The 21,268-nt window shown below is 41.5% G+C and overlaps 1 protein-coding gene across 1 annotated transcript in view; it reads left to right on the forward strand.

The window, feature by feature from the left end:
• The window catches only part of MRC1 (mannose receptor C-type 1), a 101,817-nt gene continuing 88,172 nt past the window's right edge, over positions 7,624 to 21,268 (forward strand). Inside the window, exon 1 of the mRNA NM_002438.4 lies at positions 7,624 to 7,802. Within this exon, the coding sequence (NP_002429.1) occupies positions 7,742 to 7,802 (61 nt within the window). The 5' untranslated portion in view covers positions 7,624 to 7,741. The remainder of the gene's footprint in view (positions 7,803 to 21,268) is intronic.

Below are 21,268 nucleotides of genomic sequence, written 5' to 3' on the forward strand. Positions count from 1 at the left end.
CTGAGTACTAGTGATTAATAGCTTTAGTAACCTGAGATATTTGTATTAACAATTATTTACAAGAGCTTTTACATATATTACCATATCCTGAAGATTATTTTTTGGAAATTTCATTAATTTGTCATTTGACAAATTTGAGTGCCTGTTATAGACTAGGTATGGTTTTATATGAATTTGAGGATAATATTTACTAAAGTAACACTTGCTGTGAAAGTGTGCATTTATATATACACACATCTTAATTTCCCAAGATATGCCTATTTTTAATAAGATTATTTTTTATTTTAACTTGTAATTATTCTTATATTGAAATGGAAATAATGGATTTTTAAGGAATGCCTTCTTTCTCTACAAAACTTTTTTCTTTTAAATATTTAACTCAGATACCTTAGAGGTGTTCAGAATATTTGAGTGAATAAATAGAAAATTTGCGTTTCAAATTGCTAAAAATTATACATAATCTTACATAGTAAGTGTTGTTCTGAAGAACCAGCCCAACATTGTTGTGTCTTGGTTTCCATCTGTAAAGTATAGGTCACTTTCAGATTATAAACACATGTTTAATCTTATTCTTAAAATTTGTTTCTGCCGGGCGCAGTGGCTCACGCCAGCACTTTGAGAGGCCGAGGCGGGTGGATCACGAGGTCAGTAGATCGAGACCATCCTGCATGCTGTCTAACACGGTGAAATCCCATCTCTACTAAAAATACAAAAAATTAGCCAGGCGTAGTGGCGGGTGCCTGTAGTCCCAGTTACTGGGGAGGCTGAGGCTGGAGAATGACGTGAACCCAGGAGGCGGAGCTTGTAGTGAGCTGAGACTGCGCCACTGCCCTCCAGCCTGAGTGACAGAGCGACACTCCATCTCAAAAAAAAAAAATTTGTTTCAAAAATTAAATGGGTCAAATAGCCTTTTAATTAAATTACTTTGTAAAATTTAGTATATTAAAACGATGTGTGCCAAGACAAAACCAAATGAAACAAAGTATTGGTTATAGAAATACAAAATTCAAAGGTCCTTCAAATACTATGAATCTACACACTGTTGATTACAATAAGTCTAAATATGTTATCTGAAGACAGTTACAATTAAAGCCTAATTTTATGTAAGTAATTGAATGCAAAGAAATTGGATTGCTATGATATAGTAGTTTTCTATTAAACTGTAAATGCATTGTTGATGTTTTGCTATGGTTTTGGTAAGGACTGAAAAATATGAGGTATAAGAACATCTAAATTTTTAAATTTTTACTCAAAAATATCTTTTTTTTCTTTTGGCTGGTAGGAATTATGTTGATAAGAGTTGAATAAATTTGTTCATTAAAAGATAGGCTTACTGAAAACACCATTTCTGAAGGGCTTACCAGTTTTATCTGTGAGAAATGATGTAACAGGTTATGAAAAATTTTGCCCAGCTATTTTTCTTGGAACTATTTCAGAGCAAAGCAGACACTAAGTTCATCATACGTGAAACTGAGTGGGTAGGAGGTGGCTGGTGTTTGAGAAAGTCTAGGAGGAAATGACACAGTTGATTGTCTTGCCAATAAAAAAATGAGAATTTCCTTTATATTTTAGCTTGAAGAAAGGACTAGTTAAAAATAACCACCATCATCAATAGCTAACCAAAATTCAGAACCAGAACTTAGTAGAAGGGTGTAGACAGGATGGCATGAGTTGGATTTTTAAAAAAGTTTGGTAAAGGATACATAACACAATTATTATTGTAGTCATTTCAACTGTACAATTCAATGGCTCTAAACATATTCACCATGTTGTTTAACTATCACCACTCTGTATTTCCAGAACTTTTCATCATCCAACATCCAATGGGCTCTGTGCCCATTAAACAATAACTCTCCATTCTCCTCCATCCTCCACCTCCCACCCCTTAGTAAACTCTCTTCTTCCTATGTCTCTGAATTTACCTATTCTATATACCTCACATAAGTGGAATCACATAATATTTGTCCGTTTATGTTTGGCTTATTTCACTTAGCAAAATGTTGAAAGGTTGTACATATAGCAGGTATCAGGATTCCTTTTTACGGCTCTATAATATCCCACTGTATGTTCATACCACATTTGTTTATCTGCTAACAGACACCTGAGTTGCTTCTACTTTTTGGCTATCATAAGTAAAACTTCTTTGAACATTGTTGTACAAATATGTGTTTGAGTCCCTAATTTCAGTTCTTCTGGGTATATACCTAGAAGTAGAATTGCTGGATCGTATGATAATTATAGTGTAACTTTGTGAGGCATTGCCAAGCTGTTTTCCGCAGTGGCTACACCATTTTACATTCCCGCCAGCAATGCCCGAGGGTTCCAATTTCTCATATTCTCACCATCACTTGTTATTTTCTGTTTTTTTAAAGTAATAATTCTTTTGGGTGTGAAATTCTATTTCATTGTAGTTTTGATTTACATTTCCCTAATGACTAATGATGTTGAGCATCTTTACATGTGCTTAGCTTATTGGCCACTTGTATATCTTCTTTGGAGAATTATCTGTTCAGGTCCACCGACCATTTTGTATTTGGTTTTGTTGTGGTTATTGAGTTGTAGTTGTTAATATATTCTGGATATTCATCCCTTAATCAGATATGTGATTTACAGATATTTTCTATTTTGTGCTGTCTTTTCACTTTCTAGATAGTGTACTTTGGTGGACACAGTTTTTAACTGTGATAAAGGCCTTTTTATCTACTTTTTTATTGCTTGTGTTTTTGGTATCCAATCCAAGAAATCATTGTCAAATCCAATGTTGTGAAGATTTTATTTCCTGACGTTTTCTTCTAAGAGTTTTATAGTTTTTAGCTCTTATGTTTAGGCATTTGATCCACTTTGGGTTAATTTTTGTATTTAATGTAAGGTAAGAGTCCAATTTCATTCTCTTTCCTGTGGATGGCCAGTTTTCCCAGCACAAATGCTGTTCTTTCCTCATTGAATGCTTTTGGCACCTTGTTGGAAATCAACTGCCCACATAGGTTTATTTCTGGCCTCTCTATTGTATTCCATTGGCCTATATGGCTATCCTTATGCCTGTACCACACTGTTTAGATTACTGTCATTTTGTAGTATGATTTGAAATCAGGAAGTGTGAATCGTTCAACTTCATTCTTTTTCAAAATTGTTTTGGCTGTGCAGACTCCCATGAAATTCCATATGAACTTTAGGATGGGGTTTTTCATTTCTGCAAAAAAAAAAAATCATTGGGATTTTGATAGGGATTGCATGAATCTATAGATTATATTGGATAATATTGACATCTTAACAATATCAAGTCTTCCATTTCATGAACACAGGGTATCTTTTCATTTATTTAGGTCTTTTTCTTTCAGCAACCATTTGTAGTTTTCAGTGGACAAGTCTTTTGTCTACGTAGTTAAATTTATTCCTAAGTATTTTGTTCTTTTTGATTCTATTGCAAATGGAATTTTCTTAATTTTATTTTCAGATTGTTCATTACAAGTGTATCAAAATTCAACTGATTTTTGTGTTTTGATTTTGTGTCCTGCAACTTTGTTAAATTTGTTAGTGCTACAGTTTGTGTGTGTGGTGTGTATGTGTGTGTGTGTGGCGTGTGTATGTATGTGTGTGTGGTGTGTGTGTGTGGTGTGTATGTGTCTATTGTGTATGTGTATGTGGTATTTGTGTGTGGTGTGTGTGTGTGTGTGTGTGTGTAAGCTTTAGGACTTCCTACATTTAAAATCAGGCCATCTGTGTACAGAGATAATTTCACTTCTTCCTTTTTAATTTGGATGCTTTTATTTATTTTTTTCTTTCCTACATGCTCTTATTAGAACTTCCAGTACTAAGTTGAAGAGAAGTGATGAAAGCAAATAAAAGCACCAATCAGAACACACAGTCCTGACATTTGGAGGGCTAAATCCTTGTTGCCCGGCCTGGCCTCACCTAGCTGCACTGGGCGTGTGGGCTGCTTCCCCCTTCACAGCTGCCTGACACAGCCATAACCACAGGGAGAAGCTGAAATTCGCTGAAATGTACCAGCCTCTTTATCAAGCTCTCCCTTGGATGCTCCAAGTTTCTGACTAGACTAGTTCCCAAATACAGATGGTCCTTGACTTAGGATTGTTAGACATAATGATTTACCCACTTTATGATGATGTGAAATAGAAATGGTGCATTCAGTAGAAAATGTATTTCGAATACCCATACACCCATTCTGCTTCTCACTTTTAGTACCATATCCAATAAATTACGAGATACTCAACACTGTATTATAAAATAGGTTTTGTTAGATGATTTTGAAATAGAAGAGTTCCCTTATGACCCTCGCAGGGGGTGCGACAGGAATGAGGCTTGCTCCTTTGGTGCCCTGCTGCTCAAACCCCTAGGGGGGAGCATGCAGCATGCAGATGGGCAGGTGCAGAGGCTGTGGGGAGTGCTTTTGGGCTCCACCCCACGGCAGCATCTAGGACTCCTGAAGCCCAAGTGGGCGTGTGTTACAGTGTGCTCTTTCAGCTATACCATCTGCAGACAGCTTGTGTTAGTCAGCTCAATAGACCCTCTGCCTTATCACAAGGACAGGGAGGCAGTGTGACAGCCTGAGTTCTTGCCCAGTGTACTGGAAGAATCAGATCACATGTGGGCTGGAGGGTTGAGTGCAAGGTTTTATTGAGTGGTGTAGGTGGCTCTCAGCGAGATGGATGGGGAACTGGAAGTGGGGAGTGGAGTGGGAAGGTGGTCTTCCCCTGGAGCCAGGCTGCCTAACCCCCCAGACTATTCTCCAACCACTGCTGGCCAAACTCCCCTTGGTGTCCAGATGTCCTTCTTCTCTCTTTCTCTGCTGCGCCACCCCACTGCTCTCCACTGCTCTATTCCTTCACTCTTCTCAATGTTTAGCGCTTGTGTCTATGCCCATTAAGGTCTCAGGTTTTTATGGGCACAGGATGCGGGGTGTGGTGAATCATAGTGGTCTTGGAAATGTAACATTTGCGCATGAAAACAGGAGTGCCTGTTCCCACTTAGGTCCGTGGGCACAGGTCCGAGGGTGGAGCCCTCGCCAGGGATCCTGCCCTTCTCTACCTAGCACTTCTCTGCCTCCTGTCCCTATCAATTTTGCCCAGTTGGAAGCTAATGTAAGTGTTCTCAACACGTTTAAGGTAGGCTACGCTGAGCCGTGATGTTTGGTAGGTCAGGTGTATTAAGTGCATTTTTGACTTAGCATATTTCAACTCACATTGGGTTTAACAGGGCCTAATTTGATCATGAGTAGAGGAGCACCTGCAGTTACTTCAGTCAGTTCCTGTCCATTTGATGGCTGCTTAGATGGAGGGATGAATTCCTGGAGTTTCCCACACCACCATCTTCTGTGACATCCCTTCCCCAAGATTTGGATTTATTTTTTGCCCCAGTGGCCTCTTGTAGCCTGATAAATCTTTGTTTCAACGAGGTCAAGGTCATGGGGTAAATTCTTTGTGGGGTGGTTGGCTGCATTTTGTTTAAACTTCACAGATTTTAGTACTGATCCTAATTTTTAATTTTACTAATGTGATATACACACTTATGTAATTAAAAAACAAACCCTGGGCCAGGTATGGTGGCACACGTCTGTAATCCCAGCACTTTCAGAGGCCAAGGCGGGCGGATCACTTGAGGTCAGGGGTTTGAGACCAGCCTGGCCAACATGGTGAAACCCCGTCTATACTAAAAATGCAAAAAATAGCTGGGCATCATGGCACGCGCCTGTAATCCCAGCCACTTGGGAGGCTGAGGTAGGAGAATCGCTTGAACCCGGGAGGTGGAGGTTGCAGTGAGCCCAGATTGCACCACTGCACTCCAGCCTGGGCGACAGAGCAAGACTCTGTCTCAAAGAAACAAACCAACCCTGAATGTGATTATATACATAATTCAATTAAATGTATTTGCTTCTGAAATATATATAAATGTAAATTAGGCAGTCACTTTTGTATATGATTTATTTATATTTGAAAGCCACAAATGACCCATTTAAACTATTATTTTCATAAGCCAGTGAAACAATGTCTGAGAAACATTTTTGTTTTGTCTGTTCTGTTCTATAACCATCATTTTTTTTTTCAGTCATGTACAGCCTTAGTGACAAAGAAACTTTGGTCCTCTGTCCTACATTTTCACTATCTTTTTCCCTCCGGTCAGGATAATCTCAAATTTACATGTTAAAAACAATCAGTAAGAGAACTACATCACATTTCTAATAGGATGGAAACTTTTCAACTTTATCACAAAGACAACGAATGTGGAGGCTTTCCGTTTGAAGATAAAACTATTCATTTAAAAAATTTTAAAAATTACAATGTTTCCAGTAGCTTCTTTTTGAATTACTAACATATTCCACACTCTAGTAACGGTTTGGCCAGCTAATCGTTAGTTTCTGCTTTAAAATGTTCTAAATTCCTGTTCTACTTTTGAAAAATGACAACATAAATGTTTGGAGGGTTATTTTCTGCTTAATGAAAGATCTAGAAACATATTTTATTCTAAGAAAGAATTCCACTTGCCTTTAAATAAAGATATACCTTTTGACCAAACAATCAGATTTTCTTTTTCTTTTTTTTCTTTTCTTTTTTTTTTTTGAGATGGAGTTTCGCGTCTGTCGCCCAGGCTGGAGTGTAGTGGTGCGATCCTGACTCACTGTAACTTCCACTTCCCAGGTTCAAACGATTCTGTTGCCTCAGCCTCCTGAGTAGCTGGGCTTACAGGTGTGCATGATCACACCCGGCTAACTTTTGTATTTTTAGTAGAGACGGGTTTTTGCCATGTTGACCAGGCTGGTTTCAAACTCCTGACCTCGGGTGATCTGACTGCCTCGGCCTCCCAAACTGCTGGGATTGCAGGCGTGAGCCATTGTGCCTGGCCAGATTTTCTTTTTCTAGCAAGGGGACCCACTTAAACTTGAAGAGGACCGGGATGGTTGAGGCTGGGCAGCAAGGCTTTACTGCAAATCCTTTACCACTGTTTTTTCTGGCTTTCTAGAGAACGTTCTAGCAAAAGGTTTCTAGAACTTTCTCCTTCCTGGCCTGACTGACATTCCCTCTTAGGTGTAGCCTCCTTTTCACTTTTCTTCTGCCTGGAGGAAATGAAGCTCCACGGAACTTTCTGTTGAAACTTTCCAAGAAAAAAAAGAAAGGCTCTAAGCACTGAATGTGGAAACTGAAGGGGATGAGCTTCAACTCTGAAGTGTTTCCAGCGTAAAACTGTCCTTTCCAGGGCCCGTGTGGCTGTCACTTCAGAGTGGAGGTTGTCTGCTGAGGGACCCCTGACTCAGCTGCTTCCCAGGGGAAGCTCCGTCTTCCGGCACAGGTAATGGCCTGCAGCTTGATCTCCACCCAGCCCCATCTGAGCAGGCCGGGAGCTCCCAGGCTGTTTCACTTCTCTCCTTCCTGACTCCTCACCATCACCATCGCCCTCTCTCCTCCCCACCCCGCCACTCCTCTCCCACACGTGTCCCTTTCTCCCCTTCCTCTGCGTCTGCTCTTCTCAGAAGTTAGCTTACGAAGCAAAGTTGTTACTTTGAATTCCTGTTTTTCCAGCCACCCTCATGTGACAGGATGTCTCCTCAGTAGAGGCTTTCCCTAAATTCAGGAGCCCTTTAAAAGGGAGGGCTTCCTCTGTAGTTCTTTTCAGCTGGGCAGCTCTGGGAACTTGGATTAGGTGGAGAGGCAGTTGGGGGGCCTCGTTGTTTTGCGTCTTAGTTCCGCCCTCCTGTCCATCAGGAGAAGGAAAGGATAAACCCTGGGCCATGAGGCTACCCCTGCTCCTGGTTTTTGCCTCTGTCATTCCGGGTGCTGTTCTCCTACTGGGTAAGTCTGCTCTGAGGCAGGGGATCTCTGACCTGGGGGGCCGGAACCACACCTTCCTCTTCTGGGTTACTGTGAATGGGTTCCTTTCAACATCTTTGTGAGGAGGAAACGGGGTTCCCCTGCACCACGCAGTCCACGGCTAAGCCTGCTGCCTTCACCTGGCGGCCAGGCATGGGAGGCCTGGAGTTGGAGGAGGGAGGAGGATGCGTCTCAGGTCTCGGTTGCTGCCCTGCCGGGAACCCTACAGACCTTCAGTGTCCTCCTGACTTCTCTCATCGCTCGTTGTTCCTTCCCTGTTTTCTTCGTGCAGAAATTTCCTGCTCTGTGGTTTACTCTTTCTGGTTTTCAATTCACACTATTTCTGTCTCACCGCCAACAAACACCTTCTGAGTGTCTCTGGCTGGAAGGAGGGCAGCCCTGATGTCTCCCCGCGTCTTAGGTCCGAGGGTATCATCGCAGATCATCCCCCCAAAAGAGATTCTAAGCAATTTCCATACTCATTTTTTTTTCTGCCAGAATCATTCAGACACTTGATTGTTAGAAAGTTCATCCTTATCTGTATTCTAGACTATTCAAACTGCCGCATAAGCAGATCGATTCCTGTTTTTCTTCTTTTTCTGGAGATTAGAGATTACTCATTAGGAACAGCTCCAGAGTTGTTCAAATTCTCAAATACCTTTTCCAGTCTGTCTTTTCTATTTCTCTATACTCAGTTGCTTAAACTTCAGGATGGGAGTGCCTCGGGGGATTTTCATTCCTGGTTCTATTTGGAGATGATTTAGAAGAGATTTCAAATTTGATTTTTTGATTTCTGATCCCCCTTTAATTCTATGAAATCAACAAACACTTGCAGAGAATGGTTTGTGCCTACGATCTACTCTATGCACTGATGTGAAGGCGGGTGGGAAGTTTCCTAGGAAGAGAGTGTTTTAGTACCGCAAATGTTAAATCATAAGTATTGAGTGGTAGTGATTACAAAAACACAAGTGAAGGCGGTATGGTTTACATCCTGTCTCTCTCACTCACTAGCTTTGCGACCTTGGGCAGGCTACTTTATTTCTTTGTGCTTTAGTTTCCATGTCTATAAAATGGAAAGAATAATATTACCTGCCCCCATCAGTTCTTGTGATGATTCAATGAGTAACAATATGTGAAATGTTTAGAACAGAGTATGACCCATAGTAAGTGCCTTATAAGTGTTAGCTATTAAAATCAGTGGCAGAAAAGAAGTACATAAAAGGCCAAATAAAAAGGATAGATGAAATTAATTTTATTTTTATTTTTGAGACAGATTCTCATTTTGTTGCCCAGGCTGCAGTGCAGTGGCATGATCTTGGCTCACTGCAACCTCTACTTCCTGGGTTCGAGTGATTCTCCTGCCTCGGCCTCCCAAGTAGCTGGGATTACAGGCATGCACCACCATGCCCAGCTGATTTTTGTAGTTTTAGTAGAGACAACGTTTCACCATGTTGGCCAGGCTGGCCTCGAACTCCTGACCTCAAGTGATCTGCCCTCCTCAGCCTCCCAAAGTGCTGGGATTATAGGCATGAGCCACAGCGCCCAGCCCTGATATTATTAATGTATTTTATTTCACCCAGTAACTCGGAAATATTATCCCTCAACATTTAATCGATTTGGAATATTTTCCCATTCATTTCTTAAAACTAACTCTTCAAAATCTGGTGAGTATTGCATACTTATAGCATGTCTCAATTCACAGTAGTGTCATTTTAAGTGTACAATGGTTACATGAGGTGACTGGCTATCATACTGGGCAGCACAGACACAGTGCCTAATTTTCTTTAAACTGACTCAATAATGCTTTGAGCAATAGTGTTTCTCGGTTTGCTCAGGAGTGTTTCCCTCTTCCTGACAGCAGGATGCCCTCCTCTGACTAATGTCTTCCTCTTCATAGGCACAAATATTGGGGAGAGAAGGGGGATGCTGAAGATCTGTTTACTTGGAGAATAAACAAACAAAAAATTCAAGGGACCCCCCTTCCAGATTTTTTTTTCCTACGTGAAAGCCTGTAATTTGTGTTGTTTTGTTTTTTGAGACTGGTTTCACTCTGTCACCCAGGCTGGAGTGCAGTGGTGTGATCATGGCTCACTGCAGCCTTGACATCTGGGCTCATGCAATCCTCCCACCTTGGCCCACTCCCAACTCCCCAGTAGCTGGGACTTTGGGCTTGAGCCACTATGCCAGGCTAATTTTTAATTTTTTTTATTTTTTTTTATTTTTGTAGAGATGGGGTCTCACTATCTTGCTCAGGCCGATCTCAAACTTCTGGGCTCTGGTGATCCTCCCACTTTGGCCTCCCATAGTGCAGGATGATAGATGTGAGCCACTGCACCCAGCCTGTAACTTTTATTTTATCTTTTCTTGGCCCGAGAAGCATGTGATTGGAGGAATTTGTGTAAAGGCAGGGCACCTGCTTAGTTAGCAGCAGGTTAAACTATGCGAAGCCCCAACACCTCTCCCCTGGCTTCCTGCCCACTAGGAAAACCCATGGGAAGGTCTCCCTACTTGCCATCAGTTTATTTCTTTTCAATCCACACCCCTTCCTTCCACCTTCAGGAGAGCATCCCACAGCATTAGCACCATAAGTCTCTGTGGGCTGCTGCCAACGGATGGGCTGGTTCTCCCTGGAGGGGTCCAGGAGTCTAGAGGTTAACAGGGCTAGACGCTCACCTTTCCTACTGTTGTTCTTGCCGCACTATCTTTTTAGCACTCAGCAGCAAGGTTTCCAGCTCAGTTGGGTTATAATCATGGTAGATGCACCATGAGAGCCGGTGGGACACAGAGGTTAGACCACAGCAAAGAAGTTTAACTTGGAAATGGGAGGGTTTGGCTCACAGGTAGTGGTGTATTGGCAAACAACTACTGGTTCCAAGAAGGAAAAGAAAGGAAGCACTGATTTGACTTATGCTGTTTTGCTGTTTACTGATGTCCATGCTGTAAATATTCCCACCATGGTTGATTTCAAGCTACTGACTTGATGCCCCTGGGGGCAGAGTTGGGAAGAGATGCCAACAGTAGGCTTTTTTTTTTTTTTTTTTTTTTGAGATGGAGTCTCTCTCTGTCACCCAGCCTTGAGTGCAATGGTGTGATCTTGGCTCACTGCAACCTCTGCCTCGTGGGTTCAAGCAATTCTCCTGCCTCAGCCTCCCGAGTAGCTGGGATTACAGGCACCCGCCACCACACCCGGCTAATTTTTTCTATTTTTAGTAGAGATGGGGTTTCACCATGTTGGCCAGGCTGGTCTTGAACTCCTGACCTCGTGATCTGCCCACCTTAGCCTCCCAAAGTGCTGACATTACAGGCATGAGCCACCACACCTGGCCAACAATAGGCTCTTGCTAGCTGCTGCTATTGGTCCCAGGGCAATATGGAGCCTTTCTAGGCTCTGGGAAGGCGCTCAAACAGTGGGTCAGGTAGTATCATGAAAAGCCTAGAACATCTGCAAAAAATGATAATGAGAGACGTCTTGGTGGACAGAGAAGCCTTAGAATCATAGACCATTAAAGCAAGAACAAACTAGGAAATGATGCATTTTGACATCATCATTTTATAGATGAAGCACCAGGCTCAGGGAGGTAAAATGTCCAGAAGGTGACTGTTTAGCAGGTAGATGTAGATCCAGGACTTTGCTCAACGGCTTGTACTTTTCCACATCCCCTTAGATTTCTTGCTGCGCTGTTAGATCAAGTAAGTGCAAATTAGGTTATTCCTGTTGCCATTTGCGGGTCTCACATTTGGCTGGAAGGGATCCAACTGTGGTTCTGACATAGACATCACGCTAATGGTATAATCCTGATACTCCTCTATTTCATTTCCCTCGTTGAAATGCTAAGAAAGATAATTATTATCATGTGATTATCACAGTAGTGGTTTTTCACAAGCACTCTTGAAAACTTTGATTCCAATATAAATGTATGTCTTATGGTAAATATTGATTCTTCAGTGTATTTTTTCACAAAACTGAATTAAGTGGGAGAAAAATACAAGCACCTTTCTCCTTTTTAAATTTGTTCTCCATCTTTCTCAGTGTTTGTATCTAGAAGGCTGAGCTAACTTTTATGCTTTGGAACATAGGGCTAGATTTTATATATATAAATATATACATATATATATATACACACACACACACACACATTATATATATATATATATATTTTTTTTTTTTTTTGAGACAGGGTCTCACTCTGTCATCCAGGCTGGAGTGCAGTGGCATGATCATTGCTCACTGTAGCCTTGACTTCCCGGGGTCAAGTGATTCTCCCACCTCAGCCTCCTAAGTAGCTGGCACCACAGGTGCATGCCACCATGCCTGGCTAACTTTTGTGTTTTTTTGTAGAGATGGGGTTTTGCCATGTTGTCCAGGCTGGTCTCAAACTCCTAGGCTCAAGTGATTTGCTCACCTCGGCCTCCCAAAGTGCTGGGATTACAGGCATGAGCCACCATGCTCAACCTTAGGTTTTGACAGTTGTGCAGCTTTTGGTTTAATCTACAAATATTGCACATGAATAACTGTAGTAGAAACTTAGACCTCAGGGACCCATAGCTTCCCATAAAGCAGATGGGAAGATGTCATTGTGCACCTTTCCCTATGTGAGAAAGTTGAAGCTCTGAAGATTCAGTGGCTTGCAGAAGTCAGGTAGTCAGTAAAGACCAGAGCTAACTCTTCATTATGATCTTTAGACTCTGAGGCTAAGAAGTAGATAAATTTACTACCTGGAGTGTGTTGATCAGGAAAGATATAATGTGGTTCAAAATAACACTATGTTAGAAGAAGGACTTAGATCCCTTTATCTGTATCAATTTTTTTAGACTTTTCACTTCAAGAGGGGGAAAGGAAGGAATTAATATTTATCAAGTGTGTATTAGATGCAGATAATATGCTGGGTGCTTTACATAAATGATCTCATTTAGAAATTCACGGTAGCTTTACCAGACAGCATTATTGTCCCCATTTTACAGATGAGGAAGTAGAGGCTAGAATGGCTAATAGCACTAAGGCATCACAGCTAAAAAATGGTGGAACCAGGATTTGATTGCAAGCCTATCAACCCCAAAGAAGATAACCCTCCACACCACATCCCCTGAGGCTAGAAACCCTGCAGTTCCGTGTTCTCGGTCCTTCCGTCCCTCTTTTTTTTTTTTTTTTTTTTTTTTTTGAGACAGAGTCTCGCTCTGTCGCCCAGGCTGGAGTGCAGTGGCGCCATCTCGGCTCACCGCAACCTCTGCTTCCTGGGTTCAAGTGATTCTCCAGGGATTATAGGCGTGCACCACCCTGCCAGGCTAATTTTTGTATTTTTAGTAGAGACGGGATTTGGTCATGCTCACCAGGCTGATCTCGAACTCCTGACCTCAGGTGATCCCTCCTGCCTTGCCCTCCCAAAGTGCCGGGATTACAGGCGGGAGCCACCGTGCCTGGCCGGTCCCTCTTTCTGCACTGCTGCAACAGTTCTCTGCTCTTTCATTTCATCTTATTCTGAAACATCTCACACTGTCTGTACGACTGATTTTGCCAAGTTAACAATAATAATAATGAATATATATTAAGCAATTCCTGTGTCAGGAACTCTTCTAAGCACTTTATTTAGATGATCTCATTTCATTCTCACGACAATGAGGAGGTCCTGCTATTTCCCCCTTTATTTTACAGATGGGGAAGTGGAAGCACAGAGTAATGTTGAACTTGGCCAAGGTCACACAGTCAGCGAGCAGCGGAGTCTGTTACCTGGGAGCCAAATCCTAGAGCTCTGATTATGTCATGATCAGATTGACATGATACATACATAAGGTGAACGAATTAGTGGGGCTATGCATGGAAGAAGAAAGAGCAGTGTGGTGTCAGCTTCTTACCTAGTAAAGGGTTTTGTTTATTTATCTTAAGGGGGATCTGGGGAGGCTGGCATTCAGAGGCTGAAGAAATAGGAGTGAGAGCAGAAACTAGCTGTGGAGAAGTAGGAGGGTTCACAGTCCAGGACACAGGTAGGGCGGTCAGCAGGAGGAAGGAAGCCTCTTCTACTGACTTGGGAGCGAATGGCCCCGGGAAGGTGTAGATATTCATATCTTTAAGGTGGTAGGAGGGAAGTTGGAAGAGTTTCTTGGCCTCTGTTTTGTCCTTGTGGTCAGACCCATACTGGGTTCATATTATGTACTTTTCCAAATGGCCAGTTGCAATGACCTAAATCAGTAGTTTCCCTGAATATTTTGGGTCTGAATGAAGGATCAAAGTGACAAATGAAGTAATTCTCTGTTTTTTTTTCTTTTGTTCAACATTTCATTTCTTTTTCTTTTCTTTTTTTTTTTGAGATGGTGTCTCACTCTGTCGCCCAGGCTACAGTGCAGTGGCACGATCTTGGCTCACTGCAACCTCCGCCTTGTGGGTTCAAGAGATTCTCCTGCCTCAGCCCCCCATAGCTGGGATTACGGGCATGTGCGACCACATAGGCTAATTTTTGTATTTTTAGTAGAGACGCGGTTCCACCATGTTGGCCAGGCTGATCTCGAACTCCTGACCTCAGGTGATCCGCCTGCCTTGGCCTCCTGTTCAACATTTCTAAGCCTAAGACTGACTAACACCCTCCATCAGCCCCCAGCACCTGGCATAGCTTCTTGAATGTACTAGGTGCAGGGTAAATATTTGTTTTTCACTGAATTTGGGGTCTTTGGGGAAAACATAGGTACATTTATTTAACTGAGGCTGGTGAACATATTTCTTAGTTTGGATTCCCCAAGAAGCTGTCCTCAGACAATTGCACTCTGGTTTGAGGGCAAGTTAGTTTATTTGGGAAGTGAGCCCAGGAAACACTGACAGGGTAACGGGGAAGTGAGACAGAAAGGGAAGGTGTGTGGACACCCAGTGACCGCTGTGGGCAATGGAGTGTAGGAGCTCTGGGCGACGGTGTGGAATGGTTGCCTTGGACTCATCACATCCAAGGTACAAGAGATTTAGAGCCGTCAGCGGTTCTCCTTGGCCTCTGATGAAGGCTTCCTCCTACAGGGCATTCGTTTTCTGACCCATCTAATTTGTGCCATGTTTGAGCCTAGAGGGCTCTGATAGCCAGAAAAAGCCCCCAGGGCAAAAGGCGTGGTGCTGGCGTTTGGGAGTGGGGCCTGCATGCACCTAAACAGCGAAGGCCGAGGAGAAATAGTATAAATCTGGAGGCATCTGCTACAGCTACTTGCTGCTTTTCCTCTTATCTGGCTTCTCTGTCTTCCAGAAGTTATTGTCTTTTGTGTTCCAATGTCAGCATTTTATTTGCTGATAGTCAGGAAAATCTAAAAATGTATAAGAAAATGTAGCATATCATACTTATCTCCCTGAACAATCACCTTTAATAACCAAATTTTCTTTGCTAGTAGGCTTGGGAATTTAATGACTTGTTCAATGTTGCGGCATAATTTTAAAAATGCTTAAAAAAAATCCAGGCCAGGCGCGGTGGCTCATGCCTGTAATCCCAGCACTTTGGGAGGCCGGGGCAGGTGGATCACTTGAGATCAGGAGTTCGAGACCAGCCTGGCCAACATGGTGAAACCTCATCTCTACTAAAAATACAAAAATTAGCTGGGTGTGTGGTGGCACATGCCTATAGTCCCAGCTCCTGAGGAGGCTGAGGCACGAGAATCGCTTGAACCTGGGAGGCGGAGGTTGCAACGTGTTGAGATCACACCACTGCACTCCAGCCTGGGCGACAGAGTGACTCTGTCTCAAAAAAAAAAAAAAAAAAAAGAAAGAAAATCCACACCTATGTTACTGGATGTTTAGTCTTTAATCATTTTTAACCTGAGATATTGGGTTGAAACTTATTGCATGTTACTGGATGTTTAGTCTTTAATCATTTTTAACCTGAGATATTGGGTTGAAACTTATTGCTTCTTTACTAAATGTATTTTGATCCTTGATCTTTTTGCCTTTGAGTTAACCACAGCAGAGAGTGTGCTCAACATGGCAGGAAACTTATGTCTTTTGTTTGTCTTTGTATTGTCATTAGCATAGCATCTGGCGTGTGGTCATTGTTTGTCAAGTATTTGTTGAAAAATTAATGTGAAATTAGTAAGATCAAGTTAGGATGGAAGGAGAATCACTGCAATTCTGGATATAAATTTCTGATGTGTAAGTATTAAAAAAAGAAACTCACATATTAGATCCTACAAAAGAGATTGCAGAGAAATTAAAACAGATCGACTGTGTCGATCTGTTCATCTTTGCCGTATTTCTGTTACAAAAACATAATTGGTATGGACAAAAATAGAATGTTTATAAATGTTGGTGTGGTTAATATTGGTAAAAATGCCACAAGCTGCCTTTTGGCCAACGTCTTGAATACGCCTTCAGAGGAAGAAGTATGACATTTTAAGTCAGACATGTTGCAGAGATGATGATAAAGGCAAAATGACATGCTGATTACTTGGGGAGAAGAATAATGCACGATGAATGTATCACCATAGAGCAATAATTTTACATTTCCTTGTATTGTCTGGCAAAGGCAATATCAAACTTACACTGCTTCCTAATGGCAAAAGATAAATAAAGGAAACAAGAATAGATAAGTGTGTATTGAAACAGAACCTTTTCATTTCCAAGTACCCTTTTTGTAAGTATACACATTTCTAAATTGCTCTTCAGTAAAAATAAGCTTTCAGGGGAAAAATGAATATTCAGCATACCTGTAATCATTAATCTATCATTAGATAAATAATTTATCTGGGTTACTAGTTAAGATGCTTCCGCTTAATAAACATTCTTTCATTCATTCAACTAATTATTTGTTGAGAGATTATTTATGCTCCCCAAAAAGAGACTGCAGCACTAAATCAGAAAGATCAAGTACCTCGTCTCATGAAATTTACATTCCAGTAGGGGACTATGGACAGAACATTAGTAAACAAATTGAAGAAAAATATATTTTAAGATGGTTATGGATATTATATGGTAAATAAAAGAATAAAATGAGTTAGGATGATCAGCCTGCTACGATGTTGACACTTGGCTGGGCGCAGTGGCTCACACCTGTAATCCCAACACGTTGGGAGGCCGAGGTGTGCGGATCACTTGAGGTCAGGAGTTCGAGACCAGCTTGGCCAACATGGTGAAACCCCACCTCTACTAAAAATACAAAAATTAGGTGGGTGTGGTGACATGCACCTGTAATCCCAGAGCTGAGGCAGGAGAATGGTTTGAAATCAGGAGGCTGAGGTTGCAGTGAGCCAAGATGGCGCCACTGTACTCCAGCCTGGGTGAAATAGCAAGGGTCTGTCTCAAGGAAAGAAAGAAAAGGAAAGTTGACACTTGAGCTGTGACCTTAGTGAGCATCCCAAGAAGAGGGAACTCAAAACATGAAGTCACTAATGTGGAAGTGAGCCTGGAGAGTTTGAGGAGCTGAAAGGTGGTGTGGTTGGTGGTGAGGGCAGACAGGTCACTGTTCCCTTTCTAATAAACAATGATATAGGGGCTGGATGTATTTTTCCTGGGTACAGTGGTTCCCTTTTGCAGGGTTTAAGTTGTTGAGAACTTGTAGTTAGAAACCCAGTCTCCTTCCCACCCAGAAAACCTCTCCATAAAGGTAGATGAGAAAGAAAAGAATTTTACTATTGAGTGAACATTCAACCAGAATGTGGTGTACATCGCAGGCAATCTGCAAAAGAGATGGGAAAAACAGAAAGAGATCTCACTCTTGTAGGTGGCTCAGTGAAGACCACCTATTATATTAGGTAGGTTTTGCAATTTGGCATCAGGTGACAAGTCAGGCCCGGCTCCTCCCAGAAAACTGGGAGATCAGGTGTTATCTTTTTTGATGATTCCATTTTCAAGAGAGGAAGATTAGAGCCAAACCATGGTGGCTTGGCCTGGGATGGTGTAAATGGAGTTGGAGCAAAGAGAATGAATTAGGGTATATGTATGAATTCAGAGTTGTATGTGTGTGTGTGTGTGTGTGTGTGTGTGTGTGTGTGTACACAGAAAGGGAAGAGAAGAGGGTGGAGAGAGGGAGAGAGAGAGAGTTATTTAAGGAATTGGCTCACACAATTGTGGAAGCTGGCAAGTCCAAAACCTGCAGGGGTAGAGGAGTATGCAGGAAACTCAGGAGAGAGTTGATATTGCAGTTTGAGACTGAAGCAGTCTAGAGCTGGGTGAGGTGGCCCATGCCTGTAATCTCAGCACTTTGGGAGGCCGAGGCAGGAGGATCACTTGAGCCTAGGAGTTCAAGACCAACCTAGGCAACAAAGTGACACCCCTGTCTCCAGTAAAAATAAAAAATATTAACTGGGTATGGTGGCACAGGTCTATAGTCCCAGCTACTCGGGAGGCTGAAGTGGCAGGATCGCTTGAGCCTAGGAATTCAAGGCTGCAGTGAGCTGTGATTGCACTACTGCACTCCAGCTTGGGCGACAGAGCAAGATCCTGTCTCAAAAACAAACGAACAAACAAAAACAGAAATAAAGCAGTCCAGAGGCAGAATTCATTCTTTGGGGAATTCCCCCTTTTTGTTCTTCTTCAGCTTGTTTCTCTTAAGATCTTCGCCTGACTGGATGAGGCCCACCCACGCTGAGGAGGGTGAGCTGCTTTACTCAAAGTTGGCTGATTGAAATGATCATCTCATCTTTAAAAGAATTCCTTTGTAACAACATCCAGTCTGGTGCTTGATCAAATATCTGGGTGCCAAGACCCAGCCACGTTGACACATAAAATTAACCACTGCAGTGTATTTTTGGGTAGACATGGTAGATTTCACTATTGCCTTAGGATGCAAAAACAAGCTGAAAATCCAGGAAGACTCCTAGGTTTTTAGCTTATAGATCTCGGGGGATGGTGGTGCCAAGAATTAGAAAGAGAAGTTTGGATGTTACTCATTAAATGCTGTCTTAGAGTGAAATTAAGATGAACTGCAGATAAAAATTAGGCATATAAAAGTCAAGTATAAAAACATCTGAAGGAGGAACACTGTTCATGCATAAAGATTTTTGAACGCCTTCTCTTAAAAGACTGGTTGCCAATCAGTTAATTGACTGAATTTGACCAGTTAATAAGACTGTTGTTTGACAATACAGTGAAAATGGCCAAAGTATAAGGTGGAAGATATATTTACTATTATTAACAATGAGGTATTACTAAGCAAAGCTATCTGAAAAGTGGAAGATAAGTCCAGCTTTAAAAAAAACAACAGTAGGTAGAATAACACAAACAAATTACATTAAATTTAGAGGCTAGTATAGTGGAGTTTACATATATCTATGGCAAAAGTTTCAGAGTTCATTACATTTTGAGATTAGAGAAGATAATTTACCTTTGCATAAAGTAAATGATCATAGTCACTGTTTTTTAAAAAACCGTTTTTATTTTCCTATTTCCTGTGTTCCATTGTGAGCAAAGCCCTATATTATCAAAATTCTCATTTTATTGCCAAGGTAGAAAATTACTCATTTTGTCCCACTAGGGCACGAGCAGTTACAAAATGAGATCAAGTGTGGAAGGAAGCTCAGCTAGACAGGAGGAGATTGGGATAGGTATTGCATGTTCTGTGAACAGTTGTCAAGTGCAGAGAAGCCAGCAGAGGCAGGTGTCTGGATCCAGGCTTTACTGAGTTCCAATTCCAAGAAATCAAAGCAGCATGAATGAGTAACCCAGCAGAGGAGCCCAGGCAGAGGTTTGAAGTTGCAGAGAACTAGGAACCCAGGTGGCATAGAGGCAGCGAGAGTAAGTCTTACTCACTCTAAGTAAGACAGCATTTAATGCGTAACATCCAAACTTCTCTTTCTCATTCTTGGCACCATCATCCCCCAAGATCCATGAGCTAAAAACCTAGGAATCTTCCTGGATTTTCAGCTTGTTTTTGCATTCTAAGGCAATAGTGAAATCTACCACCTTTACCCAAAAATATACTGCAGTGGTTAATTTTATGTGTCAACATGGCTGGGTCTTGGTACCCAGATATTTGATCAAGCACCAGACTGGATGTTGCTATAAAGGTTTTGTTTTTTGTTTGTTTTTTTTTAAAGATGAGATGATCATTTCAAGGTAGGATAGAGGCAGGAGATCTGGAACTAGTGTGGACAAGAGCATACAGAGGAGCGTGTCAGGAGAAAATAATCTTTTGAGGCAAAAATTTATTATAAGCTTTAAGCTTATGGGTCTAGAACTGATCTCAGAGTGTAAGTGGTGCTAACCTCCCTGGGGTGTTCAGAACAGGATATAGAATACAGCTTGCAAAAATGCTTTGGAAACACTGAAGGACGCTACTAGTGGTATGATTCTAACTTTGTTTGATTTCGCTGGAATTATTTAATTAAAAATAATGAGCTCATTTAGTCAGAACCTCAAACATCTGCACTACTACCAGCTCATTTTGAAAGAACAAGGTGAATGCATGGAATTTAGGAAAATTTCACAAGATGTGTTTAATTTATGTTTATGTCACAAAATCAAAGCACTCAGTTACTTTCATTTGTTTATTCCTTAACAATAAAGAAAAAAGAGAAAGCTTTACATGAACTCAATTTTGATTTAATTAAAGGAAAAAAAAATGCTTACCAGATCCTTTTTTCCTCTTTTGCAAGAGGAAGTTCCGTTTTGCCAGCTAGCAGCTATGTGCTGTTAAGTATAAGCCATCCTTACATATTTACTTGAATCACCAGTTCCAAATTACAAATATAAAAAATGTTATTTTTAAAGTTATTCTCATAAAATATTCTCTCCAATGATATAAAACTTACATTGATTTTTCCTTTATTGCAAACTTCACTATTAAATTATTAACAAATAATACCAAAATGTGTTGAGATGTGTCACACTACAAAATCCTATTCTAGTCTGGGCGAGGTGGCTCCCACTTGTAATCCTAGTACTTTGAGAGGCTGAAGTGGGAAGATTGCTTGAAGCCAGGAGTTCAAGACCAGCTTGGGCAACACAGTGACTCTATCTCTACAAAAAATAAAAAATGAGTTGGTTATGGTGGTACAAGCCTGTAGTCCCAGCTACTTGGGAGGCTGAGGCAGGAAGATCACTTGAGCCCAGAAGTTGGAAGCTACAGTGAGCCATGATTGCACCACTGCACTCCAGCCTGAGCAACAGAGTGAGACCTTGTCCTTTAAAAACAACAAACAAACACACACCTTTTCTAGGACATACATGCATTTAATTTTACAGTTTATTGTATTCGTATTACCCAAATTTTCTTTTCCCAGTTGATATTATTCCTTTCTGTTTTCTGCCTTGTATGTTCCACTCCTGGACAATCCTTGGGCATGTAAGGTGGGACTTTGCATGAGACTCCTCACAGTGAACTAGGACATTTTGAGAACATCCAGCTGAGGGCTGGTACCTTGGCAGGCCCTCAGTCCAGGTTCTCCTTCCAGCTTCAGGGATCCTCGAAGAGAGCTGGCCCAGGCACAGTCATCAGTACCTCTTTTCCTGCAATCTTAAGTCTTTAGGGAAATGGAAGAGTTGGAAACTTTTGACC

The sequence above is a fragment of the Homo sapiens genome, chromosome 10, assembly GCF_000001405.40.
Source record: "Homo sapiens chromosome 10, GRCh38.p14 Primary Assembly".
NCBI classification, from domain to species: Eukaryota; Metazoa; Chordata; class Mammalia; order Primates; family Hominidae; genus Homo; species Homo sapiens.